The sequence below is a fragment of the Homo sapiens genome, chromosome 2 (assembly GCF_000001405.40).
Source record: "Homo sapiens chromosome 2, GRCh38.p14 Primary Assembly".
Classification (NCBI taxonomy): domain Eukaryota; kingdom Metazoa; phylum Chordata; class Mammalia; order Primates; family Hominidae; genus Homo; species Homo sapiens.
In genome coordinates, this window is record NC_000002.12 from 218,920,977 (window position 1) to 218,940,837 (window position 19,861).

General features: G+C 44.5%; 2 long non-coding RNA genes across 2 annotated transcripts in view; one reads left to right on the forward strand and one right to left on the reverse strand.

The window, feature by feature from the left end:
• The window catches only part of LINC01494 (long intergenic non-protein coding RNA 1494), a 29,824-nt gene extending 20,163 nt beyond the window's left edge, over positions 1 to 9,661 (reverse strand). The window contains exons 1-3 of the long non-coding RNA NR_110238.1: positions 9,382 to 9,661; positions 6,187 to 6,278; positions 714 to 784 (exon numbers count right to left, since the gene is read on the reverse strand). This is a non-coding gene — a long non-coding RNA (long intergenic non-protein coding RNA 1494). The remainder of the gene's footprint in view (positions 1 to 713; positions 785 to 6,186; positions 6,279 to 9,381) is intronic.
• Positions 3,916 to 18,996, forward strand: LOC124907984 (uncharacterized). Its single transcript, XR_007088091.1, has 2 exons — positions 3,916 to 5,227; positions 18,686 to 18,996. It is a non-coding gene; the product is annotated as an uncharacterized LOC124907984 (long non-coding RNA).
• Positions 18,997 to 19,861: the final 865 nt, after the last annotated feature.

Sequence of the window (19,861 nt, forward strand, 5' to 3'; positions counted from 1 at the left end):
CATTTTAAAGATTAATAGTCCAGTGAACATCTGTGTACCCACTACTCAGGGTGAGAAACAAATATAACGATGGTCTCGTGTGTTCCTTGTGGGCTCTTCCCCAATTCTTCCTTCTCCACAGAGACCACTTCCACCTGCCTTCTGTGGTAGTTATCTTATAATCCTCTTCATAATTTCTTTCTTTTTTTTTTTTTTTGAGATGGAGTCTCGCTCTGTCGCCCAGGCTGGAGTGCAGTGGCATGATCTCAGCTCACTGCAAGCTCTGCCTCCTGGGTTCATGCCATTCTCCTGCCTCAGCCTCCCGAGTAGCTGGGACTACAGGCACCCGCCACCACGCCTGGCTAATATTTGTATTTTTAGTAGAGACTGGGTTTCACCGCATTAGCCAGGATGGTCTCGATCTCCTGACCTCGTGATCCGCCCGCCTTGGCCTCCCAAAGTGCTGGGATTACAGGCGTGAGCCACCGTGCCTGGCCCCTCTTCATAATTTCTAACACCTCTGAATTCTTCTACTGTATATATATATATATATATACACACACACACACACACACACAATTATATATATTTATATATACATTATATATATACATTATAATGTGTATATATATAATGCATATATATAGTAGAAGAATTTACTTTCTATATAGTAAATTTTGTGTATACACACACATACACATACAAAACTGGATCAGTAAGGAATTTACACTTACTTCTTTAGATGAAGACCCCCAGGAGAGGGTAAGATGACAGAGTCTCTGGGTCAGAAGTGACCTCATTTTCCCTGAAAGTTTACAGGGCAAAGTCACAAGTGAGTCTGTTATGTTTGGGGTGTTTGTCCTCTTCAAATCTCATGTTGAAATGTAACCGTCACTGTTAGAGGTGAGACCTGGTGGGAGGTGATTTGATCATGGGGGTGGATCCTTCACAAATGGCTTAGCACCATTTCTTGGTGATGTTCTCTCCCAGTTAGTTCACATGAGAACTGGTTGTTTAAAAGAATCTGAGACCTCCCCCTTCTCTCTTTTGCGCCCTCTCTTCACCATGTGATGTGCTGGCTCCCCTTCACTTTGTGCCATGATTGAAAGCTTCCTGAGGCCTTCACAAGAAGCTGATGCTGGCACCATGCTTCCTGTACAGCCTGCAGAAACGTGAGCCAAATCAAAGCCTGTTTTCTTTATAAATTACCTAGTCTCAGGTATTTCTTTATAGCAGCACAAGAATGGACTAACACAGAGTCTGTGGGAAATAGGACTCAAAAAATTGGTGGCAGGGTGAAGTGTCACCCAAATACTGGCCATCAGGCAGGAATATGGTCAGGGGGAGTAGGCTGCTCTTATTTTCTCACTCAAAGTTCCCACAGCCTACTTTCAGCTCTCGGGAATGGGTGAGAACAAAACATTTTTGTGGGAGTGAAATAAATATCTTTAGATAATCCACGTAGGAGGGTAAGGAGGGAATAACAGGAACTTCATCAACACATGATATATTAATCCATTTTAACTATAAAGAACTACCTGAGACTGAGTAATTTATGAAGAAAAGAGGTTTAATTTCCTCACATTTCCACAGGCTTAACAGGAAGCATGGCTGGTAACTTACAATTGTGGTGGAGGGGTTAGGGGAATCAAGCATGTCTTACCGTGGTGGAGCAGGAAAGAGCGAGAGTGAAGAGGGAAGTGCCACACACTTTTGAACAACCAGATCTTGTGAGAACTCACTCTCACAAGAATAGCAAGCGGGAACTCCACCCCAATGATTCAATCACCTGCCACCAGGCCCCTCCCCCCACATGTGGGGATTACAATTCGAAATGAGATTTGGGTGAGGACAGAGCCAAACCATATCATTCCACCCCTGGCCCCTCCAAAATCTCATGTCATCACATTTCAAAGCCAAGCATGCCTTCCCAACAGTCCCCCAAAGTCTTAACTCATTCCAGCATTAACTCAAAAGTCTAAGTCCAAAGTCTCATCTGAGACAAGGCAAGCCCCTTCCGCCTATGAGCCTGTAAAATAAAAAACAAGTTAGTAACTTCCAAGATACAATGGAAATACAGGAATTAGGTAAATGCTCCCATTGCAAAGGGGGAAATTGGCCAAAACCAAGGGACTACAGGTCCTATGCAAGATCAAAACCTGGCAAGGAAGTCATTAAATCTTTTTTTTTTTTTTTTTTTTTGGAGACAGAGTCTTGCTCTGTCACCCAGGGTGGAGTGCAGTGGTGCTATCTTGGCTCACTGCAACCTCCACCTTCTGGGTTCAAGCAATTCTCCTGCCTTAGCCTCCCGAGTAGCTGGGACTACAGGCACATGCTGACATGCCCAGCTAATTTTTTGTATTTTATTAGAGACAGGGTTTCACCGTGTTACCCAGGCTGTTCTTGAACTCCTGAACTCAGGCAATCCACCCATCTCGGCCTCCCAAAGTACTAGGATTACAGGCGTGAGCCACTGTCCCTGGCTGGAAGTCATTAAATCTTAAACCTCCAAAATAATCTCCTTTGACTCCATGTCTCACATCCAGGGCATGCTGATGCAAGAGGTGGGCTCCCAAGGCCTTGGGAAGTTTTGCCTCTGTGGCTCTGCAGGGTACAGCCCCCATAGCTGCTTTCATGGGCTGGCATTGAGTGCCTGTGGCTTTTCTGGGCACATGGTGCAAGCTGTCAGTGGATGTACCATTCTGGGGTTTGGAGGACGGTGGCCCTCTTCTCATGGTTCCACTAGGCAGTGCCCTGGTGGGGACTCTGTGTCAGGGCTCCAATCCCACACTTCCCCGCTGCACTGCCCATGAGGGCTCTGCCCCTGCAGCTGACTTCTGCCTGGACATCCAGGCATTTCCATACATCCTCTGAAATCTAGGTGGAGATTCCAAAACCTCAACTCTTGCCATCTGCACACCTGCAGGCCCAACATCACATGGAAGCTGCCAAAGACTTGGGGCTTGCAATCTCTGAAGCAATGGCCCGAGCTGTACCTTGGCCCCTTTTAGCCATGGCTAGAGCTGGAGTGGCTGGGATCCAGGGCATCACGTCCCAAGGCTGCACAGAGCTGCTGGGGCCTGGGCCTGGGCCATGAAACCATTTTTTCCTTCTAGGTCTCTGGGCTTGTGATGGGAGGGGCTGCCTCAGTGGTCTCTGAAATGCCCAGGAGACATTTTCCCCATTGTCTTGGCTATTTAACTCTTCTTTACTTATGCAAACTTCTGCAGCAGGCTTGAATTTCTCCCCAGAAAATGGATTTTTCTTTTCTACCACATGGCCAGGCTGCAAATTTTCTAAACTTATATGCTGTACTTCCCTTTTAAATGTAAGTTCCAGTTTCAGATCATCTCTTTGTTCATGCATATGAGCATACACTTTTAGAAACAGCCAGTTTACCTCCTGAATGCTTTGCTGCTTAGAAATTTCTTCCAGCAGATACCCTAAATCATCTCTCTCAAGTTCAAAGTTCCACAGATCTCTAGGGCAGGGGAAAAAATGCTACCAGTATCTTTGCTAAAGCATAGCAAGAGTGACCTTTACTCTAGTTCTCAATAAGTTCCTCATCTCCATCTGAGACCACTTGAGTCTGGACTTCATTGTCCATATCACTATCAGCATTCTCATCAAAACAATTCAACAAATCTTCATGAAGTTCCAAACTTTCCCACGTCTTCCTGTCTTCTTCTGAGCTTTCCGAACTGTTCCAACCTCTGCCTGTTACCCAGTTCCAAAGTTGCTTCCACATTTTCAGATATCTTTATAGCTGTTATAAATAATTTTCTGTATAGTCCATTTTCACACTGCTATAAAGAGCTGCCTGAGACTGAGTAATTTGTGAAGAAAAGAGGTTTAATTCACTCACAGTTCTGCAGGCTTAACAGGAAGCATGGCTGGAAAGCCTCAGGAAACTTACAATCATGGCAGAACTTAAAGGGGAAGCAAGCGTGTCTTACCATGGCAGAGCAGGAGAGAGAAAGAGTGAAGGGGAAGTGCCACACACTTTCAAACAACCAGATCGCATGAGAATTCACTCACAGTCAAGAACAGCAATGGGGAAGTCCATGCCCATGATTCAATCACCTCTCACCAGACCCCTCCCCTGACATGTGGGGATTAAAATTCAAGATGAGATTTGGGTGGGGATGCAGAGCCAAACCATATCACATGGTCAACACAAGCTTCTTGGTGATGCCCCAAACTTCAGAACCAGTTAAAGGTTTACCATCAGCCAGAAGAGCTGTGGGAATGAGCCTCCCAGAAAGAAGAGATGGAAGGTGTTTGGCATCTGCAGTGATGATGATGATGATGATCATGATCATGATCATGATGCTGGCTAAATGCCGACTCTGAGCCCTGCATGATGGTAAGCAGTGTCTATGGATTGGCTCTTTAATCCTCATAACAATGTCTATCTAATGTCTATCTAGAGGTAGATATTAAGATAATGCCTATTTTTCAAATGAAGAAACTGAGCCTCCAAGAGATTAAGTAACTGGCTCAAGGTCACACAGTTGGTAAATTGAAACATGAGTGCTTACATGGATGTTTTCCAGGGATTGAGGCCGCATTAACTGGTGGGGAGAGAAATGAAGAGCCCAGCACAAGGGGTGGACTGATGGGAGCATGTTTGGGCTAGTGGGAATAATAATAAAAAATAATAGTCAGCACTTATTGAATGCTTACTAAGTGGCTGGCATTGTTCTAAGCACTTTTACATGCATTAACTCGAGGTGAAATAAAACCCAAATACACAGAACTGGCAAATGAGGGTCCATGCTTGAGGGTTTGGAAAGACTTGGAAATACCCTTTGGGCACATCAAGCAGGCAAAAAAAAAAAAAAAAAAAAAAAAAAATCAGCTGCATTTTGGAAGCTTCCTCTGATCAAAGATACCCATTCATCCAACATTTATTTATGAAATGCCTGTTGTTTCCCAGGCATTGTTCTAGGCACTGAGAACAGGACAGATTCCAGGAGAAGGAGAAGTCCAGGAACACAAAAAGATAGAAAGAAATACTCAGAAGTGCCATATTTTTTACCTTTTCATTGATACTACCAGAAAAGGGAAAAAATAAATACTGTTTGATTTTGCCACCAGGCACCACAAAACTGCGCCCCTGCCTGATTTCATTTCAGCAAGCTTTACTGTGAAGTGTTTATGTGCCAGGTACCATGTGTAGAAGCGCTGGCCCAGAGATGAAGATGAAGTTTCTATCCTTAAGGCATGCAATGTGGGAGATGAACAGGTAAGTGGATAATTACATTACAAGTGATTCGTGCCATGATTGAGGTGTGAACAAAATTCCACGGGAGCAAAGAAGAGTGGCTAATTCTGCCTAGGGGTGTCAGATAATGTTTAATGGAGGAAGGGGGCATCTCAACTGGGCCTGAGGGAGGACTAGGAGATTGCCAGGTGGAGATGGGGAGAAAAGACCTCTAGAGAGGAGTAGTTTGTGGACAGAATGATCTAATTGCAGATACTAAGTTCTGAAATGTGGACTGTGCATGGACAGCCTAGTACCCTGACAATTGTGAGGGCAGGGGAGTCCACAGAGATTACTAATTTATTGAAAAAGCACTGAGGCTTGTGTTGGTGCCAGCTAAAAAGACTGAGTTGATAAACAACCCATCTTTGTTTCTCTATGCAGAAATCACCCAGACACCTGCCATATTTTTTCTAGCCTATGTTTAAGTTAAGGTGTCAAAAAGACTTGAAGTGCTCCTGTACACATTTGGGGAGGGGAGTATATTGGTACAACCCCTGTGGAAGGCAGATTGGCAACATCTGCCAGAATTACAAAGGCATATAGCTTGTGACCCAGCAAGTTCACTTCTAGGAATTTATCCTTGGATGCACTCAGTCACATGTAAAATAACTTATGTACGAGTATTCATCACATCATTGTAACAGCAAAAGATTGGAAAAAAAGTAAGTGCTCATTACAAGGGAATTGGTTAAGTACATTATGATATCTCTTTAAAATGGAACACTATTCAATCTAAAAACAATAAGGTAGCTCTTTCCATCCTGTTGGAAATGATTTCAAGGATATATTGTCAAATGAAAAAAGCAAGGGCAGAACCACACATATAAAACAGGGATGGAAAGAATTCAAGTCCTCCACGGAGTATGCAAACTGCTCAATTAAAAGTCCCTGGGTTGCCCTACCTCCAGCCTCCTTGTGATGTGTGATGCAAAACTCACTGTTTAAGCCAGTTGAGAAGGAGTTTTCTGGTTTTGTAGCCAAAAACATCCAGACGCAGAACTCTAAGGTCGGGAGGCCTTTGTGTTTGGACCTAGAAAAATGCAGAGGCAGGAGGTAAATCTTTGACTTACAGAAATTCCCCCGTGTACTCCGTATTAACTCTAGTGGGCACTCTCAAGTGCTTTCCCCTCTAGAAATTCCAAGCCCTGAATTGCAGAGCAGCCAGGCATTCACATGATGCAGCCGTGGGGCTTTCTATGTAGAGATGCAATTTGGCAGGATTCAACCTGCCTGACTTCTTTTTTTGTAAATACAACCTCATCAGAGCAACAAGCTAAAAGCCTGGCAGAATCTATTTGCAGTCAGGGAGCAAGAGTGCAATGCAATGAATGTTAGAATCAAGCCTTATGAGGTGGAACTTGAACAACTCGCTCTGTCCACAGGAGGCCCTAGATAGCCCAGAGTCTCTACAGTGACTAAAAACAGATCTCTGGATCAAGCCATGTAGTCTGAGACTTTGTCCACATAGCTGAAATTGTCCTGTCAGTATCATCCAGACAATTTTAAGGAGTCTTTGTCCATTCATTCAAGAAAAACAAATATTTGTCCCCGGCACTCTGCTAGGTGCTAGGGATACAACAATGAGCAAAACCAAGATGATCTGTCCTTTATTGACTTACTGTCTAGAGAAAGAGATGGTAATTAGTTAAATGGTTATTAAATAGGTATACAATTATAACTGAGTGGAATGTTATAGAGGAAAGATTCATGGCAGATCAGAGGCAAAAAAAAATACATACATTAGAATGGAATCAGAGAAGCCCTGCCGGAGAAAATGACAGCTGAGCTGACATCTGAAGAATGAGTAGGAGTTAACTAGGTGATACAGGAGAAGAGCGTTCCAGGCAGAAGGAATGTTTCATGCAAAGGCCCTGGGGTGGGAGGGAGCATGGAACACTCAAGGAACTGAAAGGTCACCATGTGGTTGGAGGGCAGAGAGTGGGGGGAGTGTGCTGGGAGGGGAGGCTGGAGCAGCAAGCAGGCGCCAGGCAGGGCAAAGCCACGGAGGAGATAGAAAGTATTTCTGTAAGAGCAACAGAAAATCATTTGTGGTACAGAGTGTCAGTTGTCCCCCAATATTCACTTCCCCCCTTTATTCCTTTAATATTGGAACCCCTAAGTTTAGGCTCAGCATGCGGCTATCCAATTAAAAATCACTTCCCAGACTCCTTTGCATATAAGCTTTTCCATGTGACCAAAACAACCTAGCCAATTGCTCTGGCCAATGGGCTGTGAGAAGTAAGTGCAGGCTTCCATTTCCTCCTATTCTCCTCTCACTGGCTCCAGTGCAGTCATGATGGTGGGGGCTGGAGGAGCCATCCTAGGCCAGGAGATGGAAGCCATATGTTGAGGATGGCAAGGCAACAAAATAGAGGGAAACTGGATCCCCTCACCATGGAACAGTCATTGCAGCCCTGGACTATTAAACTCAGACCACATGTGACAAACTGATACACTTCTAGCTGCTGTATGGAGGGTAAAAGCAGTAGGCTCAATCTGGAGCTATTGCCGCTACCCATTGAGGAGGATGGTGCCTTGAACCTACCTGCAAAGTAGCCATGAAGATGGGACCGGACCCCAATAGAACATCCTTTGCCTCATATAGTGGAAATAGCACAAACTCTGGCCTCAGTGAGAGCCAAGTTCTGCTTTTGAGTTCATTACCTTTTTGCTGAGTGACCTTGAACAAGTTACTAAGCATCTCTAAGTCTCATTTATAAACCCAAATTAAGGTTCTTTTTTGGGGGTGTGATGACTAATTTTGAGATGGCCTTCAGACAAACTCCAACACTGGCTTTTTCGTGGGTCCCCAGGCTGATGGTCTGCTCTGGAGATTGTGGACTTGCCAGCCTCTGTAATTACATGAGCCAATCCCTTAAAATAAATCTCTCTTTCCAAATATGATACATACACATTTACACATCCTATTGATTCTGTGTTTCTGGAGAATCTTGACTAACATGGGGGTTAACTTCCTATTAATTTATATACATAGAACAAACTGCACACACATGAAGGGCACAGCTCAGTGAACCTTTACAAAGTGAACACAACCACCATTTACAAGAATATCTGGAATATTAGAATTCTGTGAAGAAAGTTATAGCAGTGGTGTAATGTGTTACTCTAAATCCCTACATTGGCTGGGTGCAGTGGCTCACACCTGGCAGGCAAAGGCGGGCAGATCACCTGAGGTCAGGAGTTCAAGGCCAGCCTGGGCAACATAGCGAGATCCCATTTTTGTGAAAAATTTGAAAAAAATAGCCAGGCATGGTGGCATGCGCCTGTGATCTCAGCTACTTGGGAGCCTGAGGTGGGAGGATTGCTTGAGCCCAAGAGATCAAGCCTTCAGTGAGTTATGATGGCACACCTTCACTCCAGCCTGGGCAACAGAGAGAGACCCGGTCTCAAAAAAGAAGAAGAAGAAAAAAAAACCTCTGGAACCATAACTATTTAAAAAGAGCGGGTGTGGTGACTCATGCCTGTAAACCCAGCACTTTGGGAAGCTGAGGCGGGTGGATCATGAAGTCAAGAGATCAAGACCATCCTGGTCAACATGGTGAAACCCTGTCTCTACTAAAAATACAAAAATTAGCTGGGCATGGTGGCGGGCGCCTGTAGTCCCAGCTACTCAGGAGGCTGAGGCAGGAGAATCACTTGAACCCGGGAGGCGGAGGTTGCAGTGAGCCGAGGTCATGCCACTGTACTCCAGCCTGGCGACAGAGCGAAACTCCATCTCAAAAAAAAAAAAAGATAAAACACATCAAGAATAATGCAAGACATGGGAGAACCATAAATCAGAGTTAGAAAAACTCTGAAATGTGATTTGACAGGATTCAGAATAAATTTAGAAATGAAAGGAAAAGTAATTTCAAAAAGGAAGACTAAATTGAAAGAACACTGGAGTGACTTAACACAGCAGATGCCTTAAGAGAAATAGAAGGTGAAAAGGAGGAAATTATGAAAAATTGAAATGAAATTTTAAAAGAGATGAAAACAATTCAAAGAAAGAGAAAATTACAAATATTTGTAATTTTATGAAGATAGGCAATGTATTAGGGTTCTCCAGAGGGTTCTCCAGAGGGACGTATGTATATATGAAAAGGAGTTTACTAGGGAGAATTGGCACACACCATCACACGGCGAAGTCTCATGATAGGCCGTCTGCAAGCTCGGGGAGAAAGAAGCCAGTAGCGGCTCAGTCTGAGTCCAAAAGCCTCAAAAGCAGGGAAGCTGACCGTGCAGGCTTCAGTCTGTGGCCAAAGGCCCTAGAGCCCCCAGCAAACCATTGGTGTAAATCCAAGAGTTTAAAGGCCAAGGAACCTGGAGTCCGATGTCTAAGGGCAGGAGGAATGAACAGAAGCATCTAGCACAGGAGAAAGATGAAAGCCAGAAGACTCAGCAAGCCAGCTTATCCCACCTTCTTCCCACTGCTTTGTTCCAGCCACCGAGCAGCGGATTGGATGGTGCCCACCCACATTCAGGGTGGGACTTTCTCTCCCAGTCCACTGACTCAAATGTCAGTCTCCGCTCCCTCTCCCTCTCCCTCTCCCTCTCCCTCTCCTTCTCCCTCTCCCCACGGTCTCCCTCTCCCTCTCTTTCCACGGTCTCCCTCTGATGCCGAGCCGAAGCTGGACGGTACTGCTGCCATCTCGGCTCACTGCAACCTCCCTGCCTGATTCTCCTGCCTCAGCTTGCCGAGTGCCTGCGATTGCAGGCGCGCGCCACCACGCCTGACTGGTTTTCATATTTTTTTGGTGGAGACGGGGATTCGCTGTGTTGGCCGGGCTGGTCTCCAGCTCCTAACCGCGAGTGATCCGCCAGCCTCGGCCTCCCGAGGTGCCGGGATTGCAGACGGAGTCTCGTTCACTCAGTGCTCAATGGTGCCCAGGCTGGAGTGCAGTGGCATGATCTCGGCTCGCTACAACCTCCACCTCCCAGCCGCCTGCCTTGGCCTCCCAAAGTGCCGAGATTGCAGCCTCTGCCCGGCCGCCACCCCGTCTGGGAAGTGAGGAGCGTCTCCGCCTTGCCGCCCATCATCTGGGATGTGAGGAGCCCCTCTGCCTGGCTGCCCAGTCTGGAAAGTGAGGAGCGTCTCTGCCCGGCCGCCATCCCATCTAGGAAGTGAGGAGCGCCTCTTCCCGGCCACCATCACATCTGGGAAGTGAGGAGCGTCTCTGCCCGGCCGCCCATCGTCTGAGATGTGGGGAGCACCTCTGCCCTGCCGCCCCGTCCGGGATGTGAGGAGCGTCTCTGCCCGGACGCCCCGTCTGAGAAGTGAGGAGACCCTCTGCCTGGCAACCGCCCCGTCTGAGAAGTGAGGAGCCCCTCCGCCCAGCAGCCACCCCGTCTGGGAAGTGAGGAGCGTCTCCGCCCGGCAGCCACCTCATCTGGGAAGGAGGTGGGGGGGTCAGCCCCCTGCCCGGCCAGCCGCCCCATCCGGGAGGGAGGTGGGGGGGTCAGCCCCCCGCCCGGCCAGCCGCCCCATCCGGGAGGGAGGTGGGGTCAGCCCCCCGCCTGGCCAGCCGCCCCATCCGGGAGGTGAGGGGCGCCTCTGCCCAGCCGCCCCTACTGGGAAGTGAGGAGCCCCTCTGCCCGGCCAGCCGCCCGTCCGGGAGGGAGGTGGGGGGGTCAGCCCCCTGCCCGGCCAGCCGCCCTGTCCGGGAGGTGAGGGGCGCTTCTGCCTGGCCGCCCCTACTGGGAAGTGAGGAGCCCCTCTGCCTGGCCAGCCGCCCCGTCCAGGAGGGAGGTGGGGGGGGTCAGCCCCCCGTCTGGCCAGCCGCCCCGTCCGGGAGGTGAGGAGCGCCTCTGCCCGGCCGCACCTACTGGGAAGTGAGGAGCCCCTCTGCCCGGCCACCACCCCGTCTGGGAGGTGTACCCAACAGCTCATTGAGAATGGGCCATGATGACAATGGCGGTTTTGTAGAATAGAAAGGGGGGAAAGGTGGGGAAAAGATTGAGAAATCGGATGGTTACCGTGTCTGTGTAGAAAGAGGTAGACATGGGAGACTTTTCATTTTGTTCTGTACTAAGAAAAATTCTTCTGCCTTGGGATCCTGTTGATCGGTGACCTTACCCCCAACCCTGTGCTCTCTGAAACATGTGCTGTATCCACTCAGGGTTGAATGGATTAAGGGCGGTGCAAGATGTGCTTTGTTAAACAGATGCTTGAAGGCAGCATGCTCCTTAAGAGTCATCACCACTCCCTAATCTCAAGTACCCAGGGACACAAACACTGCAGAAGGCCGCAGGGTCCTCTGCCTAGGAAAACCAGAGACCTTTGTTCACTTGTTTATCTGCTGACCTTCCCTCCACTATTGTCCTGTGACCCTGCCAAATCCCCCTCTGCGAGAAACACCCAAGAATGATCAATTAAAATAATAATAATAATAATAATAATAATAATAATAAAATTAAAAAAAAAAAAGTCAGTCTCCTCTGGCAACACTTTCACAGACACACCCAGAAACAATACTTTACCAGCTATCTAGGCATCCATCTCATCAAGTTGACACCTAATATTAACCACCACAGGAAAGTAAGACTCAGCACACAGTAAATGGAAATCCCTGAAGGGGAAAATCAAAACAAGGGAACAGCCTGAATACCATGGGGAGGCCTGTGTGGTGAGGCACTGAGTCCCCAGACCCTCCAATCAGCAGGGAACTGAGGCCTCCTGCCAACAGCCCCCCAGAAGAGGTCTGCCTGTGGGTATGCCAGCCCCAGCCAGGTCTTTAAATGACTGTGATCCCTTCATTATAGCCCCTTTGTAACCTCATGAAGGTCCCTGAGCCAGAGCCATTCAGCTACGCTACTCCCAAATTCCTGATTTCAGAGGCTATCAGATTAATAATGTTTAGCATTTGAAGTCACTACGTTTTGGAGTGTTTTTTTGTTTTTTGTTTTTGTTTTTGTTTTTTAACACAGCAATAGATAACTAATAAAATTAGCATTAAGGAAACTTCCAGTATGAGACCTTTTCAAATATCCCTGCTAAACACATCCTAATATGTGTCTTATGATGAACATGTGTGCATTTCTGTTGGGTATAAACCTAGGAGTGAAAATGCTGGATCACAGGATATATACATGTTCAGCCCTAGTAGACGCTGCAAAAGAGTCTTTTCCACAGCGTTGGTATCAGTTCCCACCCTCACTAGCAGAGTATAAGATTGCTCATACTCTCACCAACACTTGATATTTTCTGTCTTTTTCATTTTGGCCATTTTGATGGGTTGTAGTGGAATTGTATCATGGATTTAATTTACATTTCTCCTGAGGTTTAATGAGGTTTAGTACCTTTTCAAAAGCTCAATGGCCATTTATACATCTCCACTTAAAAAACATTTGTTAAAGCCCTTTACCCATATTAAAAATTGAGTTATCTGTCTTTTTCTAATGGATCTATTCTTTTTCTATTCTGGAATTCTTTTCATATTCTGGAGCCAGTCCTTTAGTGTATATATTTCTTTTTCTTTCTCTCTCTCTTTTTTTTTTTTTTTTTTTGTTGTTGTTGAGACAGAGTCTTGCCCTGTCACCCAGGCTGGAGTGCCGTGGCGTGATCTTGGCTCACTGCAACCTCCACCTCCTGGGCTCAAGTGATTCTCCTGTTTCAGCCTCCCAAGTAGCTGGGCTTACAGACGTGCACCACCATGCCTAGCTAATTTATGTATCTTTAAGTAGAGACGGGGCTTCACCATGTTGGCCAAGTTGGTCTTGAGCTCCTGACCTCAAGTGATCTGCCCACCTCAGCCTCCCAAAGTGCTGGGATTACACGCGTGAGCCACCGCACCCAGCTTATATATAAAATTTCTTCTCCCACTCTTTGGGTTTCGTTTTTACTCCTAAATTGTGGCTTTTGGTAAACAGTTCATTTTAATGTAGTCCAGTTTATCAATTGTTTTTTGTTTTTCTTTTCTTTTCTTTTTTTTTCTGGAGATGGAGTTTCACTCGTCACCCAGGCTGGAGTGCAATGGCACAATCTCAGTTCGGTGCAACCTCCGCCTCTTGGGTTCAAGTGATTCTCCTGCCTCAGCCTCCCAAGTACCTGGGATTACAGGCACCCACCACGCCCGGCTAATTTTTGTATTTTTAGTAGAGATGGGGTTTCGCCATGTTGGCCAGGCTGGTCTTGAACTCGAACTCCTGACCTCAGGTGATCTGCCCACCTTGGCCTCCCAGAGTGCAGAGATTACAGGCGTGAGCCACAGCACCCAGCCTAGTTTATCAATTGTTTTTGAGATGGCTGGTGATTTATGATCTGTTTAAGAAATTTTTGCCTACGCCAAGTCATGAAAATACTCTCCTATGGTATCCTCGAGAAGCTTTATTAGGTCTATGATCCATATAGAATGGATTTTTGTGTATGGAATGAGCTAGAGATGACAATTTACAATTACTCCAGTACTGTTTTTTGTTTGTTTGTTTGTTTGTTTGTTTGTTTGTTTGTTTTTGGAAACGCAGTTTCACTCTTGTTGCCTGGGCTGGAGTGCAATGGTGCGATCTCGGCTCACGGCAACCTTCGCCTCAGCCTCCCAAGTAGTTGGGATTACAGGCACCTGCCACTGCGCCTGGCTAATTTTGTATTTTTAGTAGAGACGGGGTTTCACCATGTTAGCCAGGCTGGTCTCGAACTCCTGGCCTCAGGTGATCCGCCTGCCTCAGCCTCCCAAAGTGCTGGGATTACAGGCATGAGCCACTGCGCCTGGCCACTCCAGCACTATTTATTGAAAAGGAAGAAAATCATCCTTTCCTGGGGGCATTGGAACATACCTTTATCATAAATCAAGTGCCCATAAGTTTGGAGATCTATTCGTAGACTCTCTCTTCTGCTCTACTTGTCTATCCTTGGACCAATACCATATTGTTTTAATTATAGCAGATGTATAATAAGCCTTGATATCTAGTAAATAAGGCTTCCAGCTGATTTTTCTTCAAGATTGTCTTTGTTATTGTGACTCTTTGATTTCCACATAATTTTTTTTACTTCCACGTAATTTGTTTTCTTTTCTTTTCTTTTTTTGAGGTAGGGTCTTGCTCTGTCGCCCAGGCTGGAGTGCAGTGGCATCATCTTGGTTCACTGCAGCCTCCACCTCCCAAGTTCAAGCAAGTCTCGTGCCTCAGCCTCCCTAGTAGCTGGAATTACAGGCGTGTACCACCATGCCTGGCTAATTTTTGTATTTTTAGTAGAGATAGGGTTTTACCATGTTGGCCAAGCTGGTCTCAAACTCCTGGACTTAAGTGATCCGTCTGCCTCGGCTTCCCAAAGTGCTGGGATTACTTCCCAAAGTGCTGGCATGAGCCACTGCGCCCAGCCCCATATAAATTTTAGAATCAGCCTGTCAATTTCCATTGAAACATCTACTAAGATTTTGGTTAGGATTACATTTAATGTAGTAATAAATTAGGGAAAAATTAACACTCTTGAGTTTTATAATTCACTAACATGGTTTCTTTTCCTCCATTTATTCAGATTTTCTTTAATTTTTCTCAGTAATGTTTGCTGGTTTCATGTGTAGAATCTTGAATATCTTTCACTGGATTTATTCCTGGGTATTTGATTTTTTTGATGCTATATCAGTAATATTTTAAAATTTCAATTCCAATTGTTATTGCTCATATATAGAATAAAATTAATCATTAAAATACTGACCCTTGTATCTAGTGACCTTGCTAAACTCATTTGTTCTTTCTGTCCAGTACTTTTTACTTTCTGCATGCACAGTCATGTAGTCTCTTAATAATGAACAATTTCATTTTCTCCTTCCCGTACTTATACCTTTTATTTCTTTTCAGTTCAGATCCCAGTATAATGTCAAACAGAAGTAATGATAGTGACATTCTTGACTTGGTCCTAATATCAGGGGGATATCTTACAATACCTTATTACTATTATGATGCTTGATGTGGAGGGTGTCCAAGCCTGAGTAGGGGTGGGAAGAGCATCTGCATAGGATGTAGGAGCCTGAATGGGGTGAGGAGGTCATCTCCATGGAAGGGCGATCCAGGACAGGGTGTCAGAGCCCAGAAAGATGGACAAGGACATCTACATGTTAGGTGGTCTTGGGTGGTATGTTGATGCACCAAGAGGGAAAGAAAATGTTCGTATGTGACACAGATGTCAGGCACCAAAGGAGTGAGGAGAGCTTTGACATCAGGGATGACCCAGCAGAGGGTGTCAGAACCCAAGTGGAATTAGAAGAACATTTATAGAAGTTTTGGGAAGGAGGGAATGTGGCAGTGACAGGATATTGGTTAACATGCAAAGGGATTTATATAGTGAGTAAATGGATTGAAGAAAATGGGAACCAGGTTTCTCACTATTGGAGAAAGAAGTTAAAAATATGGGCCAGTCACAGTGGCTCACGTCTTAATCCCCATAATCCCAGCACTTTGGGAAGCTGAGGTAGGATCACTTGAGCCCGGGAGTTCAAGAACAGCCTGGGCAACATGGTGAAACCCCATCTCTACAAAAAATAAAAATAAGCTGGGTGGGATGGCAGATGCCTGTAGTCCCAGCTACCTGGGAGGCTGAGGTGGGAGGATGGCTTGAGTCCAGGATATCAAGGCTGCAGTGAGCCATGTTCATGCTACTGCACTCCAGTTTGGATGACAGAGAGAACCCCTGCTTCAAAAAACAATCCACCCCCTCCACCACCAAAATGGAAAGAGATGAAACTAGAGTGAATGCTGGAGTATTGGATTAGAATTAGAGGTATTAGTGTGAACTTAAAGTTTTCAGTATACATAGATGGATATAGAAGTGTGTGTGTGGAGTATATTTCTTAGGGCTGTCCACTGAGTGGGGCTAGGAAGAGCAACACCCCAATAGCAATGAGCATATCTAGCATCCAGATCTTAGTTTCTAAACACCTTTCTTTCCTAACAGGAACCAGGGCTCCTTAGAGAAATGGTTGGTTCTAGGCCTGAAGGAAGGAAAAATACAAGATAAACCTAGAATACTTTACTGTGCCAGAGAATGAAGAAATGCTGAAAGAATAATATCTATTCTGTCAAAGAGACATAGAAACTAGCTTGAAGGAGCTCCCATTGGCCAAATCTGGGACAATTTGAGCATTGAAATAAGGATAGTAACAGATTATAACACATTAAATAAAATGGGAATCCACGAATCCATTTGATAAAAATAAATAATTCAAAATTTTATGAGTAATTTTACTTAGTTTCAAAGCATCTTGCCAAGGGAAAAAGTGTGACTTTACAGTGGAGAAGCTAGCAGATACCATACCATCTTCATCAAGTGATCAAGGTTAAAATCACCAATGAAGAGACATTAACAGCTAAGCGCAATGTGGGATCCTGGATTGGTTCAAGGAACTGAAAAATAACATTAGTGGGACAATTGGTGAAATTTGAATAGATGTGTAGACTGTTTAGCAGTAATATTTCAAAGTCAGTTTCTTGTTTTGATCATTAATTACATTGTGGTTGGCAGGAAAAAGTCCTTGCAATGCACTGAATGTTTATGTTCCCCCGGCCCCCAAATTCATTTGTTGAAATCCTAACCCCCAAGATGATGATATTAGAAAGTGGGGCCTTTGGGAGGTGAGTAAGGTTACAATGGAAAGATAGCTGTCTGTGAGGAATTGGGCCCTTAGCAGACAAGAAAGCTGCCAGGACCTTGATCTTGGACTTCCCAGCCTCCAGAATTTTGAGAAACAAATTTCTGTTATTTATAAGCCACCCAATTTATGCTAGTTTGTTATAGCAGCTTGAATGAGCTAAGACATTCTTTGTGGTAGGAAATGCATTCTAAAATATTCATGAATAATGAGGCATCATGTTGACAACTTATCCTCAAACAGGTTAAGCAAAAATGTTCTTTATACTGTTTAAAAAAAAAAGGAAAGATATAATTATTCTGGACTTGGGAGAATGTTTATCTGATGTGCTGGTGCATGAAGCAGGGAGGGCTGCATTACTTCCTGGAGGAATGAAGTCTTACCCAGAATGATGCTTTTACTGTAATCTGTGCAGGCTCTAACTGTGAATTCCTTGAGGGTAGGGCCTGTGTTATTTAAAGGTGAAAGAATAGGCTTTGTGGGGCCTGAAGGTTATACATTCAGGAGGGCTCTTCTTAAGAAAGAGATTATAAAATTACGAGTATAATATTAGGCAGTAAAATGATTATTTATTTAGGACAAGAAAAGAAATCATGTCAAATTATAACTTCTATAAAGCTCACAAATATTGCAAACACCACAAAATCCATAAAAAAAAAAACCCTCTTTGATTGGTTAACTGCTTAGCCTATCCCTCTATAATACTTTTTGGGTTTTCATTTTTTTTGAGACAGGATCTTGCTCTTTGGCCCAGCCTGGAGTGCAGTGGTGGGATAACAGATCACTCCAGCCTCGACTTTCTGGGCTAATGCAATCCTCCTATCTGAGCCTCCTGAGAAGCTAGGACTGCAGGTGTGCACCACCATACCTGGATAATTTTTTAATTTTTTTGTAGAGATAGGGCCTCACTATGTTGCTCAGGCTGGACTTCAACTCCTGGGCTCATATGATCCTCCTGCCTTGGCCTCCCAAAGTATTGAAATTACAGGTATGAGCCACTGTACCTGATCTGTAACACTTTTTTTTAAACACATTTCTTGGCTTCATACTCTGTGATTACATCTTCATATGATATCAATTTGATAATATCCGCATCTTAAACTAAAAATACAATTCAGTCTTTCCTCTAGCATGGGCGATCAAAATTTGTTTTAAAAAATTATTATTCATAGCTTTAAAAAATTTGCTTTGGTTTCAAAAACTCATTGATAATGTTACATAAATGTTTAAGATTGTTATCTAGTTTGGGAAACTGCTACCAAGTTTCTTCCATATATGAGCTGTATGACTTAAAGACATAACCGACTATATTCCTGACAAGTAAGAAGTTCCATTTTTTTGTATGAGAACTGAATTCTCCATGTACAATTTTACACACCCAATAATTAAAGGAGCCTTCCACAGATAAGTGTCTGGCGCCACACATTTCAAACCTTGTTTGCCTTCCTTACTCAGACACTTCTGGTGCTGGGCATTGTAGGACATACCCATTTTGCAACACAACCTCTTATCCTACTTTGCTTCATGATGCTGGGTCAGGTGGCAAAGCGAGTAGGCACTGGTCATATCCCTAGAAGACACTCTCATACCAGTATATCAAGCAATAATTAACTACACATAGGAACATTTGCAGAATATACAACTAGAGCTCACTATATAGATTGAATCGTGGCCTCCCAAAAAGATACATTTGTGTCCTAACCTGTAGAACCTGCAAATGTGACCCAACTTGGTAAAAGATTTTTGTAGATTTAATTATCTTGAGATAATGATCATCCTGGATTTAGAGTGGGCTCTAAATCTAGTGACAGTTGTCTTTAAAAATCTTCTTTTAATAAAAAATAATTTTTTTTAGAGACAGGCAAGAGAGCCACAGAAGAGAAAGTGATGTGAAGACAGAAGCAGGGATTGGAGTGATCCATCTACAAGCCAAGAAATACCAATGGTTGCTGCCAGCCACCAGGATCTAGGAGAGTGGCATGGAACAGATTTTCCCTTAGAGCTTCCAGAAAGAACTAACCCTGTCAACACTGTGATTCTGGACAGTGAGAGAGAAATTTCTATTGTTTTAAGCCATCAAGTTTGTGGTAATTTGTTATGGCAACCGTAGGAAACATCACCCAGTAAATCCAAATTAAATATTATCCCAATTTTTGCTTGATACCAGAAATGGCTGTAGTGTTTCAACACCCTCTAGCATAAGAGAATTGTAACAGGGGAAGCTGGTGTGGAAACAGACAGCAGTCTGAACCAGTTTGGACAAAAATACTGGTCTTGCAAATTTTAGAAAAAGCACACAACCTCTGAACACATGACTAGGGCCCCTTCCAGGAACTTAGAAGGGGCCCGGCCGAGGGAGAGTCCCTGAAGCTTATGTTTAATACATTTTACAGAAGAGCTGCCTCGGTGTAGGAAGCAGTGTAGTGTTGCGAAGACAAGCTCTGGAGCCAGACACCCTGGGTTCAAATCCCAATTTCGCAACTGTCTAGCTGTTGACTTGAGAGAAGTTACTTAGCCTTTCTGCGCCCCAATTTCTTCCTTCGTAAAATATAAATGGCAGTAGCACTATCTGCCTCATAGGGTTGTTTACCTGGTGAAGTAACATGATACACATAAGGCACATTGTATATCTCTATCTCTATCTATCTATCTATCTATCTATCTATCTATCTATCTATCTATCTATCTACGTATCTATCTATCTATGTCACACACAAAGAACAGTATATGCCCCATGGTATGCACTCAAGATAACTTAACCACTTTATTATTTATTCAACAAGTGTCTGTTGTTCTCTTCTTTGTGTCCACATGTATTCAGTGTTTATCTCCCACTTATAAGTGAGAATATGTGGCATTTAGCTCTCTATTTCTGTGTATATTCACTTAGGATAATGCTTCCAGCTCCATCCATGTTGCTGCAAAGTACATGATCCCATTCTTTTTATGGCTGCATAGTATTCCATGGTGTATATGTACCACATTTTCTTTATCCAGCCCACTGTTGATGGGCATTTAGGTTGATTCCATG